We start from the raw sequence: 15,487 nt of genomic DNA on the forward strand, positions 1-15,487 counted from the left end.
TTATTTCGATTTCCAACCCTCCTGTTATTTTGTCCTGTGCTTCTGTTCTTTCCACCTCCACTGGGAAGGGAGGTCTTTTTCCCTTTCTCCTCCTCCCGCCAGGTGCTGGAGTTTTTACACCGGTGCTTTGTTACTTAAGGAGAAAAACTGCCTGCATGGTGCAGGATGCTGAAGGGGAGACAGAAAGAGAAGGTCTGGCGGCCTGGGGGCGGCCATGCGTGTAGCCCTCCCCGGTATGTTTTTGTGCACAGAGTTGGCGCCAGGGCAGCGCCCCAGACCCCAGTCCTGGCTGGACAATAAATGACCGGACAGCTGCGGCCGCTACAAAGGAGCCCCTCGACCGCGTCGCTGTTTACTTAGTGTCGGGTCTGACCCCAGGGCTGCTTGCGGCCAGTACAGATGCTGATTCCACCCTGGGAACAGGCTTTCTGTCCTCCGTTCGCCGCGCTAGCCAGCACGTGTTTGCAAACAACTTAACTGACTTCTCGAATATTCATCTGCTGACGCTGGCTTTAGGGAAATTTGAGGGGAGACTCGCTGGGCAAAGACCCGAGGCCTCTGGAGGTTTGGCTCCCCACACGCAGGTCCCGTCCGCCTCGCTGATTATCTTTTCTTCTTTCCAGAGGAAGCGGATAGGCTTCAGCTTTAGAAAATTTATTGTTTTAATTTGCCAGCCGTAAGTACGGTCAGAAAGAAGCCGGACAACAGGCCCACAAGCCGCCCCGCAGACGCGCACGGGAACAAACACGAACACGTTGTGAGCCAGGCCAGAGAATTATCTTTGTGCACGTGGAGAAGACCTTCATCTGGGGCTGCTGCTGGTCTATTCCTTTCCGTGCACTTCTACTGACACACCCGAGCATCATGATACCTAACTCAACTCGACTTTAGGTTTAAAAAGAATTAAAATCACTAGGTAATCACATTACGAGTCAAAGGTCAATAAAACCCTCAACAGTTTAAAATAAGCTTTGCCCTCAAACTAGAAGTCACCTAGTCTTTCTTGTCAGTGTCTAAAACACATTTAGAGATGTATTGGTTTCTTAGATGTGCAAATTGAAAGGCTGTCTGGCAAGGAGATGTCTTACTTAACTAGACCACCGCCCCCCAACAGGAATGTCTCCCTCTTTGCGGCCTCTGTCTCAGAAGAGCTGCGAGGAACCCATGTCTGCAAAGACAGCTATTGGGGCTGACCCGAATTCCCCTGACCTAGGGCACTCTGTCCCCCACTCCAGTCCCCATCTGGGCCTGAAGATCCTGCTCTCTCCTCCCCATCCCAGAACTGCCACACAGAGCCTTTGATATTGTCCCAAGTTTAATTTGGTAAGGCAAGAAAACAACCTAATACCACTTCTCATCCCCTGATTTCAGAGAATCTAATTTTTCCTAACTGCCCCTACAGACTTGAAGGTAGGGGTGGGCTTTTCCACAAGCTCCTTCTATGAGTGGGGCTTGGCTGACACCTGTGCTGAGAATGCTGGAGAAGGTGGTTGGAAAACCAACTAGGACAGAGGAAGCTGAGCTCTTGGTGCCCCCCACTCCCTCTTTTATCCTCTTTATGACATTGTTCGCAATGACTGTCTAGTTTAGATATGACGAGACCAGCGCCTCCCTTGAAATGGAAACAGAGGACTGGATAAAGAAGAAAAAAGCACTTTGTAGTCTGCATCGTCCATCTTTAATTCAGAGACGCATCTCTACTCCAGGGAGCTCTGCCTTTGATCTCTTTGATTTTTTTATGCCAGATCTGTTATGGACTAAAATTCCTAGGTTTTCCATAGAAACATCTCCATTCCTTTGGGATATTGATGTTTTCTTCTTCCTGGGGGTTATGATATGGTAAATCAGATTCAGAAAAGGGACAATGCCAGCATTCATGGGCCTGGAGTGGGGTTTCTCTTGGCCTTCTCCCTCCCTCTCTCTCATATTCTCTCTTAGTCCCTCTCATTCATACAAATATTTCCTCCCTCCCTCTCTCTCTTTTTCTCCTCTCCTACTTTCCCTCCCCCCTCCTTCCTCCTTTCCTCCTCCTTTCTTTCCCTGCCTCATTTTCTCTCCGTTGTTCTCGGGGGAACCAAAATAGGGGTTGAGATTCTGGTCTCTACAAGCCTTTCAAGCGCCTTCAACTTTGGCGGCGGCAGCAGCAGGTTGCGTTGCCATGGATACTGTACTGTATGGCTGTGGCGGCGGCCACGGCGGCCGCAGCTCGAATCCCCTAAACAATGCCGAGCCAAGTGCAGGTTTCTCGCCCTTTTCCGTGCACTTTTCTCTTCTAATGGGGCTAGTGGCCTCAAATGGGAGATGCATCTTGACACGAAAACAATCCCTACCCCTCCTCTTCTCCCCCCCACCCCCGCTTTTCCTTCCTCCCTCCACGTCTTTGATCTATTAAAAATCAAAAGAACAAAGTCACAGAGGAAAGTTGAGTTTTGTTGTGACTGCCACTGCACAAAATGGAGCTCTTCAAACAGAGTGTGGTGGAACCGAGGTCTGACAATGCTGATCCAGGATTGGTTGTAGCTACAGGTCAAACTGGACAGCTCTATACAAGAGGACACAAATTATAACCAGGCCCGCCAAGGAGCAGCAAGCCTCTCCATCCCAAACTAACTATAGCTGGGAAATTCTGATAGCCAGAAATGCCTCCAGTCAGGCTCCAAGTGCAACGTGAGTGAGGGCTCTGAAGAGGCCCCCAGGTGAGGAGCCACAAGGACCCAGAGCTAGAATATCTGCTCAGTCTTAAATCATTTTACAGAGCCTGTGCGTGGCATTAGACCCCACCCAGATCTAGACAAGCTACAGCTTCCTCCACAGTGCTTGGCGCACAGCAGGTGTTCAATAAATAATCGCTGGTGGTTGTTGCTTCTGCACTGCCAAACCCTCCGCTAGGGGGCGCGAGAGGAGGTTTACCCAGAGAGAAGGGAGTGGGTAGACACTACAACTCCAGAAACAACAGCCACACTGTACCATAAAGGATGGTTAGATGGCTGGAAAAATAATGCCAAAGCAAACAGATACTGAATTCAACTTTTCTTTTCCAAAGGGACAGTAACATTAATATTATCATTATGGTCAGATGTCATTTGCCACAACTTATTGCTAGTGAGACCAACACTGAGCCGAAACATACATGAGCCATTTTCTCAGAACTAAGATCACTGTAAGATCCTCAACCTTCAGATGCTCAGAGCATTTCTTTAGATAATGTATTCAGCACCCACTACTTAAAAATAGTATCAATCATTATTGAACTGGTTGTGTCTGTGTCTACTATGCAGATCACATATTTATAGATTCATTTTGTCACATTGAATATTCTATTTAGACAACAAAAAAAAAACACAAGTAGATTTGAATTACATTCATTTTTATTTTAAGTCAATGGGAAATATGGATACTGCATACTTCAAAAATTTACTCAGTTTGGATTCGACATTTAGTATCCAATTTTTCGGCTACTTTTTCTATATTAAAAATAACCTTGGCAAAAGCTTCTATTCGAAATAAAATAAAAAATACAAAAAGGGATTGTAAAGTAAGAGAAAGAAAAGCAAACTCAACTTGAAAACCTTTCAATTCTGAACAACTGGATTGTATAGTGTAAAGCCTATCCCAACATTTTCTCAAGGAACTGGTGTGCTGATGATCCCCCAAACATTTTAATAATGTCCATAAACTTCAGAGGCTGAAGGACAGCAAGCAAAATGTGCTAACAAATGATAGACATTTGGCAAGATAAAATTTAAATATTTTTGTTTTTAAACCAGGAGAAAAACTATGAATTACCAGAAAATTCTAGTCATTTCTAAAACAAAATTGTAGAAGAGACATGTTAATGTAACTGTGTTTTTTTCTAAGCCATGTTTGAACAGTGTAATTATTTGTGATGTACAAAGAAAGGAGGAAAAAAATTAGAATGCAGAATTGTTGCTAGGGATTTGCAAACATCATGGAAAAAGTAGTACAAACCCTTGCCAAGATCCCAGAACTCTAATCTCTGGATCCTGATCTCCAAAGGAAGGCTAGAAAATTCTGCCTTGGCCTAAAAGTCTTGAGAAAATGAGATTGAAAACTGTTGATAAAATCAGCTGGGAGAAAAATATATAAATGTTCTTGGCCCAAGTGACCAGGATTAGTATTTAAAATTTATGTTGTTAAGTAAATTCAAATACAAAATCAAAGAAAACTTTTGTCTAGCAACATGACTGCTTATGGTATGTGTTCTCTTACTGGTTAAATGTACCATAGACATATCCACACGCACACACACAAGAAAGTTCCAGTTTGAAGAACTTGACCTTTTCTCTCTTATGTATTTTTTCCTTCATTTATTTACCTTTGCAGTTCCAAATAAATTTAGAAAACTACTCCCTAGACAATTGATAAGGCAGAATGTTAACTGGCCAAAAGTTTCTGGGCCACCTTTTAGCCCTCAGGGAGAATTGAAGGGAGATATCTGTGAGGTCTGGTCATAGGCACATGGAAAGGAAACAGGAAGTAACCATAGTAACCACTACCTAGGCTAGAAAAGGTGATTCTGTAGGGCCTGAGTGGTTCCATCCATTTTGAATGAAACTTAAATGCAAAGGCAGAGAGCAAGCCTACACACACACACACACACACACACACACACACACACACACAGATCCCGAGGCTCAAAAACAATAAACCTAAACAGAGTGACTAGCACTTTCAGTGACTCAAGACCCAGTCCCCTACAAATTCTAAACATCTTAGCTTCATTTTAAATGGTCAGCGAGAGCTTAGGAAAGGAGATGTCCTAGGCACAGTCTTCTTTCTTCCTCCCTTCCTCTCATAGAAAAAGCCCTAACCTTGTAGAATAAAACCTACTGTCAAAGTACCTTCTCATTTAGGACATTTTTAGGAAACTGTTCCCATCTATCCACTGAGTGTCATTCTCCTCTTGAACCTCTGAGTTCTATGGATCTCCCTGTGTCTTCTCACTGTACAAATAGAGTCACTTCCTCCTGCTGAACATTGCTCAAATTGCCTCAAAATGTGGTCCCAGCATCACCTGGGAACTTATTAGAAATGTAAATTCACATAAACTGTTAAAATGGGGCCAAGCAATTTCTAGTTATGTTTTATTTTGTTTGTTTTTAAACAAACTTTGGGTGATTCTAAACCTTGATCAAATTGGAGAATCTCCAGTTTAAAGAATCTTTCCTACCCACTCACCCTGCTAATGGAAATGTTGAATGTAGGAGTTTGTATCCCTGAAGACTGAAAACAAATCTGGGAGGAAAGACAAGGACAAGCCCTCTGAAGCTGAGGGCTGAGAACAGAGCAGCCAATGAGCGGCCCTGGCTTCCCATCCACACGTAGCCCAGCACTGGATCTAGGGGACAACTGTTTAGGTTCCCAGTCCCACTTTGCTGTGACTACGAGCCCTGGTGAGTGAAAAAAGTGAAAGGGAGATAGCCATGTGCTCTTCTCCAAAGAGAACTCCAGAGAGGGATATGCTGACACTCTGGTAGGGAAGAAAGTTATGGAAGGAAGAGTCAGAGGGGAAGACACTTGAGGCAAGGTTCTCCAACACAGACTGAGGAGTTCAGATACCACCCAGGAAAAGGCAGGGGGAGATGACTTGTGTGCCTGACTGGGAGTAGGAGTCTGAAGGTGAAGTATGTGTGGAAGGTATAGAGGATGTGAATATGGTGGGTGTAAGAGTTGGGGGGAAGGGATGCCTGGAGACACCTTGTGGGATATGAAGGCATGGGGAGGTGACTGATGTGAAAGAGTGAGTGAGGTTCTAATTGTGAGTGGGCAAGAAGAGTCTGGGGGCTTTGAGAGAATGTGTGAGAGTGTAGGCTGTGGAGATGAAGAGATTGGAGGTGGCAAATTGTCTGAGGGAAGTGAGGAGGATGAAGTAGATGTGAGGGATTTGTGGGATTCTGTGGAAGTGGAGGATGAGGAGTAGTAGGGGTTTAGAGGGGGAGATGGGTAGAAGAGAATATGAGGGGCTATGAGTGTGAGAAGGTGAGGTTTAAGAAGGGTTGACGGAGTATGGAAAGGTGAGGTGGTGTGAGACAGTAAAAGAGGGTGGGGGAAGGTGAGAGGAGGGTGGAGTGGGAGAAAGCAAGAGGGCTCCACAGTCTTCCAAGCTACTGACAAAGGGAGTGAAGGGTAAGGGAAATGGGGATCTGACATATGAATGAGGGTCAGGAGCTAAAAACAAAACAAAACAAATGAAAAACAAAAACAAAACAAACAAACAAACAAACAAACAGCATACTTATGACCCCTTGTTCCCTCACCAGACAGCTTTAGCTAAATCAGAGAATGAGCCCGAGTCCTGCTGAAGCACCTGGTACCTGCCAAATTCTCGCTCCCTGTGGGCATCAACTTCTGTGACTAAATTAAGGGGCTCCTGAAATGTCAGGTGCGAATGAAGTGTGGGAACTTTTCAGGTCTTCAGGCCCTGAACCCCTCTCTAAAGGCTGCAATGCTCCTTCCCCCTTCTTTAACTCTGAATTCACAGTTTTTACACCAAAGAAGATTAAAATGGGGGCCCAGACTTCTCGAAATCCCAGATTTTCCAAGACTGCCCATAGGAAAGATTTCTAAGCATCAAGATCACAAATCTCACTTGCTTTCCAAAGCTTGGTGTGGCTTCTTCCAAATGCCCCTCTGGAATCCAGTCCCTGAACTATACTGCCTCAGCTTCTGCACTCTCTTTGTCAAGAGCAGGTGATTAGGGCAGGGTGGTGGTAGATGCAATAGGCATGGGAAATCAGAGCACAATTTATTGGTCAGAAGTTGTGAATCAAAACGGGGGATGAGAACTGTATTTCTCTGTACCAAGAAAGCCACCAGAGAATGACTGTTCTCTGAACCCCGACTCTAGCATGGCCTGCCTACTCATAGGCACAGACAAAGGACCTGGAAGTGGAATCTCTGGGCTATTCCAATTAAGTTCAGTACTTGCTAGTTAAATACACATGACTCCAAAGCATCTCTAAATTTTTACTTACAAAGTGGAGTTAAATTAATAGCAAATAATTGTTGAGGATTTTTAGAACAATACAAGCCTCATCTACATATATTAGGGGGAAATAACTACCTTGGAAGAAATACAATGCAAACAGGGTACTTCCTCTTGGCTCTCTCGGATAGTTCCAAGTCCTATAATCTGACTTTACTTCTTCACTTTAATTTCAATGCATAGTAAAAATGTAAAAACTTCACAGACTATAGTAGGTGTCATTTTATAATCCAGTCAGTAAGAATATTATTTATATAGAAGTTAATGTGTACTAGAGTCATCTAACAAATTTTACAGTTATGGTGTCTTGTAAGTGCAATCATTTTACCTTTAAGAAATATTAATTTTATATGCAAACAATTTTTCAATAGACAACTGTCACATACTCAACTCTTATAAGAATAAATCAATTACCTTAATTTTTCAATTATGAATATACTTATATTTTATAAAGTATAAAAATATTTTTTCCTCCTTTCTTCCTTATTTAATTTGTGTTATTTGTTTGAATAAGAACACTTCTGGCAATTGTGCTGTGTCTTTATTGATATCAATAAGTCACTATATGTTCTCTTGAACACTTCTAGGTAAAACCATTGACAGATTTCACAATATAAACATTTAATGGTATTTTTAGCTCTGGCCAAAAATATGCACAAACTCTATTAATAGATGTCTGTCAGCAAAAAATGGAACTAACCAACTTTTATCTTCAATTGTAGTTACTATAATTAAATGAATGGAGTAAGTACTTGAATTTTTGATGGATAGAATATATGTGAGATACGTTTTATATAATATGCAGATTTTTTTCTAATGATTTTTAAAAATGTTTCTGTTTCAAATTGTGCAAATTTGGAAATTTATTGAATTCCTAAGCTGATTTTTGTAACAACTAGATTTAAATCTAAGTCCCTTGTATTCATCATCATGGATTGTAGATTCTAGGTCCCAATTTACTCATAACCCTGAATAAACTTAACCCATCACAACCCCAGGTACAGGGAAGAAAAGGCTAGAAACATATTGCTGCCTTGCCTACACTATGTCACTGTAGGATATCCCAGAGAATAGAACCCTAATATTTGCCTTTCTATGTCTTTAATTCCTAAATTTTCTGAAGATTGTAGGATGTGGTACATAGCAAAGAGAAGAGAACATTTAGAATCATTTTATTTTAAAATAAAACAACTTTGAAAAAGCAGTTGTGCATACACTTAATAAAACGGACAAATACCCTCTGAGAATTGAAATATGATTTTTATGTATATTTAGTTGCCCATATTGCTGAACCTAAAGCCAAAATGCACAGACATTTAAGGTAGACGTTTTGCATCTACCTTAAAAAAGTGTTTTGAAGTAGTTCATACTTATTACATTGTTAAGTAAGTAAGAAATAAGAATAACTTAACAAATTATTTCTGTTAGTTAAGAAATTATTATGGAGATTATTGAAAAATGGAGAGAGTCCCCTTAATTTTATTCTAGGTGCTTGTTCATAAACGTATTATTTTTTTCATTCTAAGATTGATGTTTTTACCTTTCTGCTACTTTTGTGCTGTACCTAAAGTCAATGTGGAACATGGCTTTTAAACAAACTTTCTCCTACCCTGAAAGTCTCCATAGCCCAACAGAGAGAAGGCAAATTTTGCCCAGGGATCAAGAGAAAGGATTTCCAAGGGAGAACTGGTGAACCCTCCCTCTTCTCCACCTGAATACAGTTCATGGAAATCTGAAAAATACCTTGCAAATGTTTGGAGAAATCACAGTGGCTTTCAGACATTCAAATCTGCATTCCCAGACTGTGGCATGAGTTGGTGCTACCCTCGTCTACTGCATCCCTTGGACTGAAAGAAGTAAATACTCCTCTCTTTCAAGGGAATGAACCTCCCTGAAAGAATATTGAAAATATCCTCATTTTTCTTAATTTGCTCTCCCTGTCTTGGTAGTCCTGCCAACAGAATTGAGCCATGGAAATTGGTGAGGTTTTACCATGTTGCAGATAATGAAAGGAATGTGGAAAATTCTGATCTCAGCTAGAAACCACAGTTAAGGAAAGTTCATTTTGCTCCTATGTCAAAGTTCGGGAAAAGGCAGCCCAGTTATCTAAATAATTTCACATCTATAGTGAGAGGTTTAAAAGACTTAAACCAATTTTAGATTCTAAAAGGTGCTTTTCTCCTCCTGCTAAAGTATTTGGTTTTACTGAAGGAAGAGTTCAAAGCCATAAAGCTCAGTAATCGGGATAACTTCCCCCCAAGTTTCATGGGGTTTCCAGAGCACTGAGAGGCTGCTGGCTGGCCATGGCTCCTTTAGGAACAATAAATCCTCCAGAATCATATTCTAAACCTCCCCATTACCAGTTATCCTAATTATTAGTTTCTCACAGCTTTCTCCACTCTCCATCTCTCCTCTTCCTTCATCCACTCCCCATCTTTGTGGAAAAGCCATTTGTAAGAAAACTACATTCATGTGCCCTTTGATCAAACAAGAACCTTTTGACTCCCACAAACATAAACTTTCCTTCGCTATCAGTTATCTTACCGACTTTTTTGGCAAGAAAAAAAATGCCAGAGAGATACATGTATTCCTCATCTAAATCATCTCTCTCCTATTTAACCAGCAACTAGCAATCATCCGACATTAATTTATACAGTTTGTGCAAATACCTAAGCTATTTAAAAGGCTGCTCTGGGTCGTGTGTGGCAGGGAACATCTATCTGGTGAATAGGCAGTGTCACACGGTAGCATGCTCTCTTGTCAAGACCGATTGTGTTTTAGGCAAACATTTGCGCAAACATAAAGGCAAAGGTCAAGGACTGTTCAGTCCCAGTATGTGCTAATTCACCTAGCGAACCAATGGGGCAAAAGTTGCATTTTATATGCTCGCCCCCGCCAGACCCAAAGCAGGAGTCGCTCCTGCTAATGAACAAAATCGCCTCTGATCAGCTCCCTTGTCAATTTCTCTTCGGCTCTCTGATCCATTTCTCTGGGCTTCCTCAGAAATACAACTGGTAAAGACGTGTTTGCCAACATCTGGATCAGCTCCGCCCAATTTCTGGGGCAGCACATGTTTATTCCACGTTTCTGGTAGCAGAAAGCTAATAATAATAAATAAAATCTAGCTTGCTGCAGACGCTTGCAGGTACTCAAATGAAGGATTGCTCATTGCTGGCGTCTGAATATCCATGCCATGCAGAAAAACAATATTATTTAAACCTCAGAATCGAATCTCAAAGCTGCAGGTTAGTGGCAGGAAAGTGCATTTGTAACACACGTTTGTGGAAATGTGGTATGCGCGCGCACTGGGAGCCGCGTTTCTTTGGGACACTTCCCTACGTTCAGCGAATACAGGGCATCACTTTCCAGTGAAATATGCCTCCCCCACCAATATATCTACACCGTCTCCCACAGATAATGCCAGTTATTTTTCCAGCCCCTAAAAAAAAATACAAATGATTTCAAGTGGATGTCAACTTGAGCAACTCGGAAGTGGAATATTTTTAGGGTTAAACAAACGTGCGCACGCACCAACCGGTAGGGTTTACTCTGCATCAATAGTCATTTGGCAAGAACCAATGGCTGAGTTTTTGCAAATCGTCCATTTAAAGGAATAGTTTTTTTCCCTTGATAAACCCCAGAGTCGCAGCTGTGCGCATCCACAGGCAAGTAGTTTACACGTGCAAAATTCATTCCTGAGTCAGGCGAGCCACAGGCTCAGCTGCGGCGCGGTGCGGCGCTTGCCTGGGGCTAGAGAGTCCACGACTTGTTGCCTCTGCGACCCGAAAGCGGCTCTCCAAACCCTGGCCACTCAGAATTTGAGGGCCTCTGGGTCTATGATGACAGGGCTCTAGGAGAAAGCGCCTCTCTGTAGAACACCCACAAAAACAGAGCAAAGTCGCAGGAGGAAGTCATCCTAGGAGGGAGCTTGGAGTATTATTTCATTTCTTAAAAACAACAGAAAAACTCCCCACAGTGCATTTTCACTGCGTTCCAAAACCAAAGAGAAAACAGAAGAAAATATAACTTACCCCGACCTGCCACAATACTACATTTTGAGCGTCCTTTTAACACTTTGAGTCTTCCTTTAGTGTTGCAGCCTTTTCTTTCCTCTTGTCAGAAACCAACTTTCAAACTATCTGCGAAAAAATAATAAATTAAAAAAATAATAAAACCAGATCTTTTGTCATATCTTGCCGGCTAGAGTCTGCCTCAAAGACTTCTTACTTCTTTCTCTACCAAAATTTCCTACACACCACCTGGGCAGCTTCACAAGGCTTAAAGTTTGTGTGGTTTGTGTGAGCAAATGTGTGTGTGTGTGTGTGCTTGTGTGCGCGCGCGCGCGTGTGCGGATGTGGGCAGTTAGTTGCTTTTAAAAAGACATCGTTGTCCTTCAGAGTAATAAAAGTGTAGCCCCCATCTTTGGGTGTGGGGATTTTACATGCACTTCTCATTTCAGTTAACTTTTTTCGAGCTGAGAAAAGCTGCTAGCTTACTTTCGGGAGACTTTGCTCGTTATTCATCTGTTTAGTCGCCTCAGAGGCACAAAAGCGGATCTGCGGCGTTATGAAAAATGGCCTGGGCGCGGAGAATGTCACAGTGGTCGGCGTATTATTTTAGCCCTTCTTAAAAAAAAAAAAAAAAAAAAAAAAAAAAAAAAAAAAAAACTCAGGGAAAGTTTGCTTTTGATGAATTCAATAAAAGCAAAGCTGCAACGGAAGAGATTTTCAGCTAAAATTATACAGCATGGGGCAGAGTTTAAAACAGCCAGATGGCCAAAGGTAGAGGGACCCTCTCGGTTTCAAACCCCAGATATAGAATTCCACCGGCGAGCCTCTTAGTTTATTTAATCCCGCGTGTATCTTTTTTGTTTTCTTTCTTTCTTTTTTTTTTTTTTCAATTGATTTCCTAGCTCTTTTCTCCACCTCACTTTTGGTTTCCCACCCTAGAAGTTGCTGGTGAAACCCCATCTTGGGATTTGCAGAAGTCACTTTTCAATTTCCCCTTTGATAATAAAGTTAAACTTTCCAGCGCCAGCAGCCTGGAGTGAAGCGAACGCCTGAGGCGGTAGGCGGGTTCATTGCAGGCCACCATTCGGTTCCAGGTTCAAATCCCGCAGCCTTTGACCTCTCAGGCCACCTGTGGCTTTTGAATATAAGGACGAATATATTCATTCCAACCCCTCCCATTCCGTACCACAACTGGGGAAAACTAGAAGAGCCTGGTCACTCTCAACCTTGCCCCCTCATGGATCCTTCCCTCTCCTGTAATCGCAACTGCAGAGCCTTGTTATTCCCGGTAAATTCATCAGCACTTCTCCCCATAATTTTCTTAGGAATGAGGAACACACAAACTGAGGTGATCACCGTGGCTTCCCAGACTTTGGAATGGGAACTATGAAGTTAATCTGCATCCTATTTGAGCCATTTTCTTGGATTCGGATGTTGGCAAAGCAGAAAAAAGTGAGGAGGGGGGAGAGTGAGGTAAAGGAATTGGAAGCTTACTTCGAAAGTCTAAAGGAAGATCAAACTTATAGCCTGAGGCCCTTCCTTTGGAAAGGAAGGAAGGAGAAGAGGTTGGGTGGTGGGAGGGGTGGGGGGTGGGGGGTGGGCATTGGAAGCCACCCAGGATCCCACTTTTCAGCGCCAGCCCTGACGGGATTTAGTCTGGTGTGGGAGTTTGGCTACCACTTCCAGGAAGGCCTCCGAACGAACCCTACCCACATGTAAACACAGCTCTCCAGGCTAAGGAACAGTGTGGTAAGGGGCAAGTTTTCAAAAGGATTTGGCAATTTGAGGACCCTCAGCCCAGAAGACCACTCCTCCCCAATCACCCACTGGCAAGGATTTGGGGGTATGGTGGGAGCGGGGGCCAGAGAGATCCTGCAGGTTGAAGGTTAACATTGGGGTGACACTGGCTTCAAAGAACCTGCAGGAATGAAAGGGGAGGCAATCGCTCTGACCTGGATTTTCTGAGCCCCAGCCTTTCTACAGGGGACAGGCAGTCCAAAGAAAGAAAACAGTGGACCATTTGGCAGTGCACTACTCCAAGTGCCTGCTCTGCCACTTTCAGGCTGAGTGACCCCAGCAAAGTTTTTTAACCACTACCTCAACCCTCCATTTTCTCGTCTGTAAAATAGTCATGAAATAAAATCTGTTTCAAATCATTTTTTTGTTTGTTTTAAACAGGACTGTGAGTACAAAGCATTTCCAGCAAATCCACAGTAAATACTCGTGTGTTGTGGATGTTGCCACTGTTGTTGTTTTGATTATAAATGCTGAAGTAGATTTTGCTGAGATAATACCACAAAATATAGATTCCCAACGAGCGGTTCCTCGGACCCATGCCCTCACTCTTATTAGCTCTGAAGATTGAAAAGTGTCCAGGTTTGGACACCGAGAGCCCTTCCTGCACCTCTACCATTCTGGAATCAAATTCACAAGGTAAGAGCCTCTCCCCGACTGGGATCAAGCCCTCAAGCTGAGAGGCTCTCCCTGATCGTGTGAGACGCGACCCAGTCGGGTCTGGGCAACTCCCTCCTTCCCTTGCGCTGGGCTGCAGAGCCCCCTGGAATACCTGAGGATATCCCCAACCTGGTCTCTCAAAGATGCCCCGACACTGGAAGAAACCTTTAAAGATGGACTGGAGAAGCTCTTTTGGAAGACAAGGCGCTCACTTTTCCACTTTTGGGAAGTAAAATAAGAGAACCAGAGGAAGACGTCGCGGCGACTGAGGATCCCGCCAGCGCACCCAGCCTACTTCAAGTTCACATCTCAAGTCTTCCCACTCAAGTATTTTTTTGCAGAGAATGCCGGGAAGAAACCTCTTCTCCCAGGAGGACTGCTGGGGGTCTGGGTAGGGAGAGTTTGGTTCCTGAGTGGGAGTCGCCACCTCCAGCTGCTCCCAGACCTGAGAAAAGGAGGCACAACTGCAGCTCGGAACCCAAGGCACACCTTTAAAATACACTGCCAAAATTAATGACCTCATATTGTAGGACAAAGGAGCTAAAAAAAAAAAAAACCCACTATATTTGGGGCCGGCTTACTTCAACCAGCATTTAGTGACACGTAGAGGAGAGGTTCTTTAACCTCTCCTCTTGGAGTTCCCCCACTTATTTGTAATGTTTGAAGTTCAGAATGGTTGATCCCGGTTTCTACCAGAACTGAGGAGTCAGTGAGGACTAAACTCTCTGTCAATATTTTCCCAATCTTGACTGCCACAACGACTCCCAGGGTATCTCATGCCTCAGACTCAAAATGGAGCCCTGCCTGGCACCCAAGTTAGAAATTGAGCAGGTACTCAGCGTCCTCAAGGGAAGGGACTATCAAGAGTCTAACGCCACTAGCCCTGGCTTTGGACTCTCTCACCTGCCAGGGAAGCTAGGGGCAAGAGCTGCTTGCTTAGGCTGCAGCAGTCCATCTGCTGGCCACCCCACCCTTGCTGCTAAGGCTCCTGACCTTGTAGATGACGGAATTCCCAGGAAAGTGTTATCGGAATATTCACACCCTGAAGAATGGAGATAGGACAGAGAGAAATTCCTGGATAGAAATTCGTGTCTTGGTTGTTTGTAGATAAAGAAAATCCACTGGGTTTAAACTCGAAGGTTTCTGTAGTTTAAACTCAGAAAAACAATCTGTCTGTGCCCGACAGATATGTGTGGGAGTGGGGTGAAGCCGATTTAAATATCTGTGCTGTCAGATCCCTGAACTACTGAGCTGAAGATTTCTATGACTAATGAACTTTGCTTTGTGCTTTACAATTTTCATGAAACTATCAGAAACTATACCCACTTAAATACATGAGCAGTTTCATAAATCACAAATTGTGGTATATCCAAAGCACTCATTTGCTTCACCTCACCTTTTGTGGCTCTCCATTTGGACAACTGCAGTGGCCCCAAAAGTTTGCACAAGACAAATCATGTTCCCACTCCCAACCCACCATCTCTCTCTTAATTCTCACTTGTTTGTGGCTTTTTATGTTGGGCAGTATCAATGGAAAGGAACTTGGGCATTGGGTGGCTAACATTCCAGCCCACCAGAAGTGGGGTCTCAGCATTAATTGTCCCAATAAATTGAGATATACTGTGCATAATGCAATGGAGCAATATGGTTATAGTCCACATGTATGACTTAATTAAGCTATTTGCAACTTGATGTTGTAAGTCAATGGGTGTGCAAGTGGATTAACAATTGCTGGCTTCCTTATCCTCAGAATGGCACATAATTACTTTACTAGTGGTACATATCAATTTTTCATGATTGCGGAAGCCATGTCCCCTGCACCAGGAAGCCATTTATTAACTCTCCATTGTGTATTAAAAAAAAAGTAGTGTTTGGAAATATTTTGAAGTCCCTCCCAACATTTGAATAGGTTCTTATTGTGGCTTTTAATGGGCTGTTGTTTTATTCCTGATGTGTTTTTTATAAAGGGGCAAAGGCTAAACTCTAAGTCCTTGCTCTGAGAGGGAATGGGAGTTCT

General features: G+C 43.2%; 1 protein-coding gene across 1 annotated transcript, besides 1 other annotated feature; it reads right to left on the reverse strand.

Annotated features, from left to right (window-relative positions):
* Positions 399–985: an enhancer, noted in NCBI's record as "H3K4me1 hESC enhancer chr3:147077316-147077902 (GRCh37/hg19 assembly coordinates)". NCBI's record gives its function as "activates a minimal SCP1, AML or CMV promoter by ChIP-STARR-seq in naive H9 embryonic stem cells {active_cell/tissue: H9 hESC(naive)}" and the evidence as "EXISTENCE:reporter gene assay evidence [ECO:0000049][PMID:30033119]".
* On the reverse strand, positions 3,536–11,326 carry LOC124909494 (leucine-rich repeat extensin-like protein 5). Its single transcript, XM_047449442.1, has 2 exons — positions 11,234–11,326; positions 3,536–11,145 (listed from the first exon to the last, which is right to left on the reverse strand). The coding sequence occupies exon 2, from the start codon at positions 6,169–6,171 to the stop codon at positions 5,188–5,190; it is 984 nt and encodes a 327-aa protein (XP_047305398.1). The 5' UTR covers positions 6,172–11,145; positions 11,234–11,326; the 3' UTR covers positions 3,536–5,187.
* Between the last annotated feature and the right edge of the window lie 4,161 nt (positions 11,327–15,487).

Source organism: Homo sapiens, chromosome 3, assembly GCF_000001405.40.
Source record: "Homo sapiens chromosome 3, GRCh38.p14 Primary Assembly".
In the NCBI taxonomy this organism is placed as follows: Eukaryota; Metazoa; Chordata; class Mammalia; order Primates; family Hominidae; genus Homo; species Homo sapiens.

Coding starts and splice junctions, on each gene's coding strand:
- LOC124909494 (XM_047449442.1), bottom strand. CDS start 6,171: ATGTCAGATCCCCATTTCCCTTACCCTTCACTCCCTTTGTCAGTAGCT.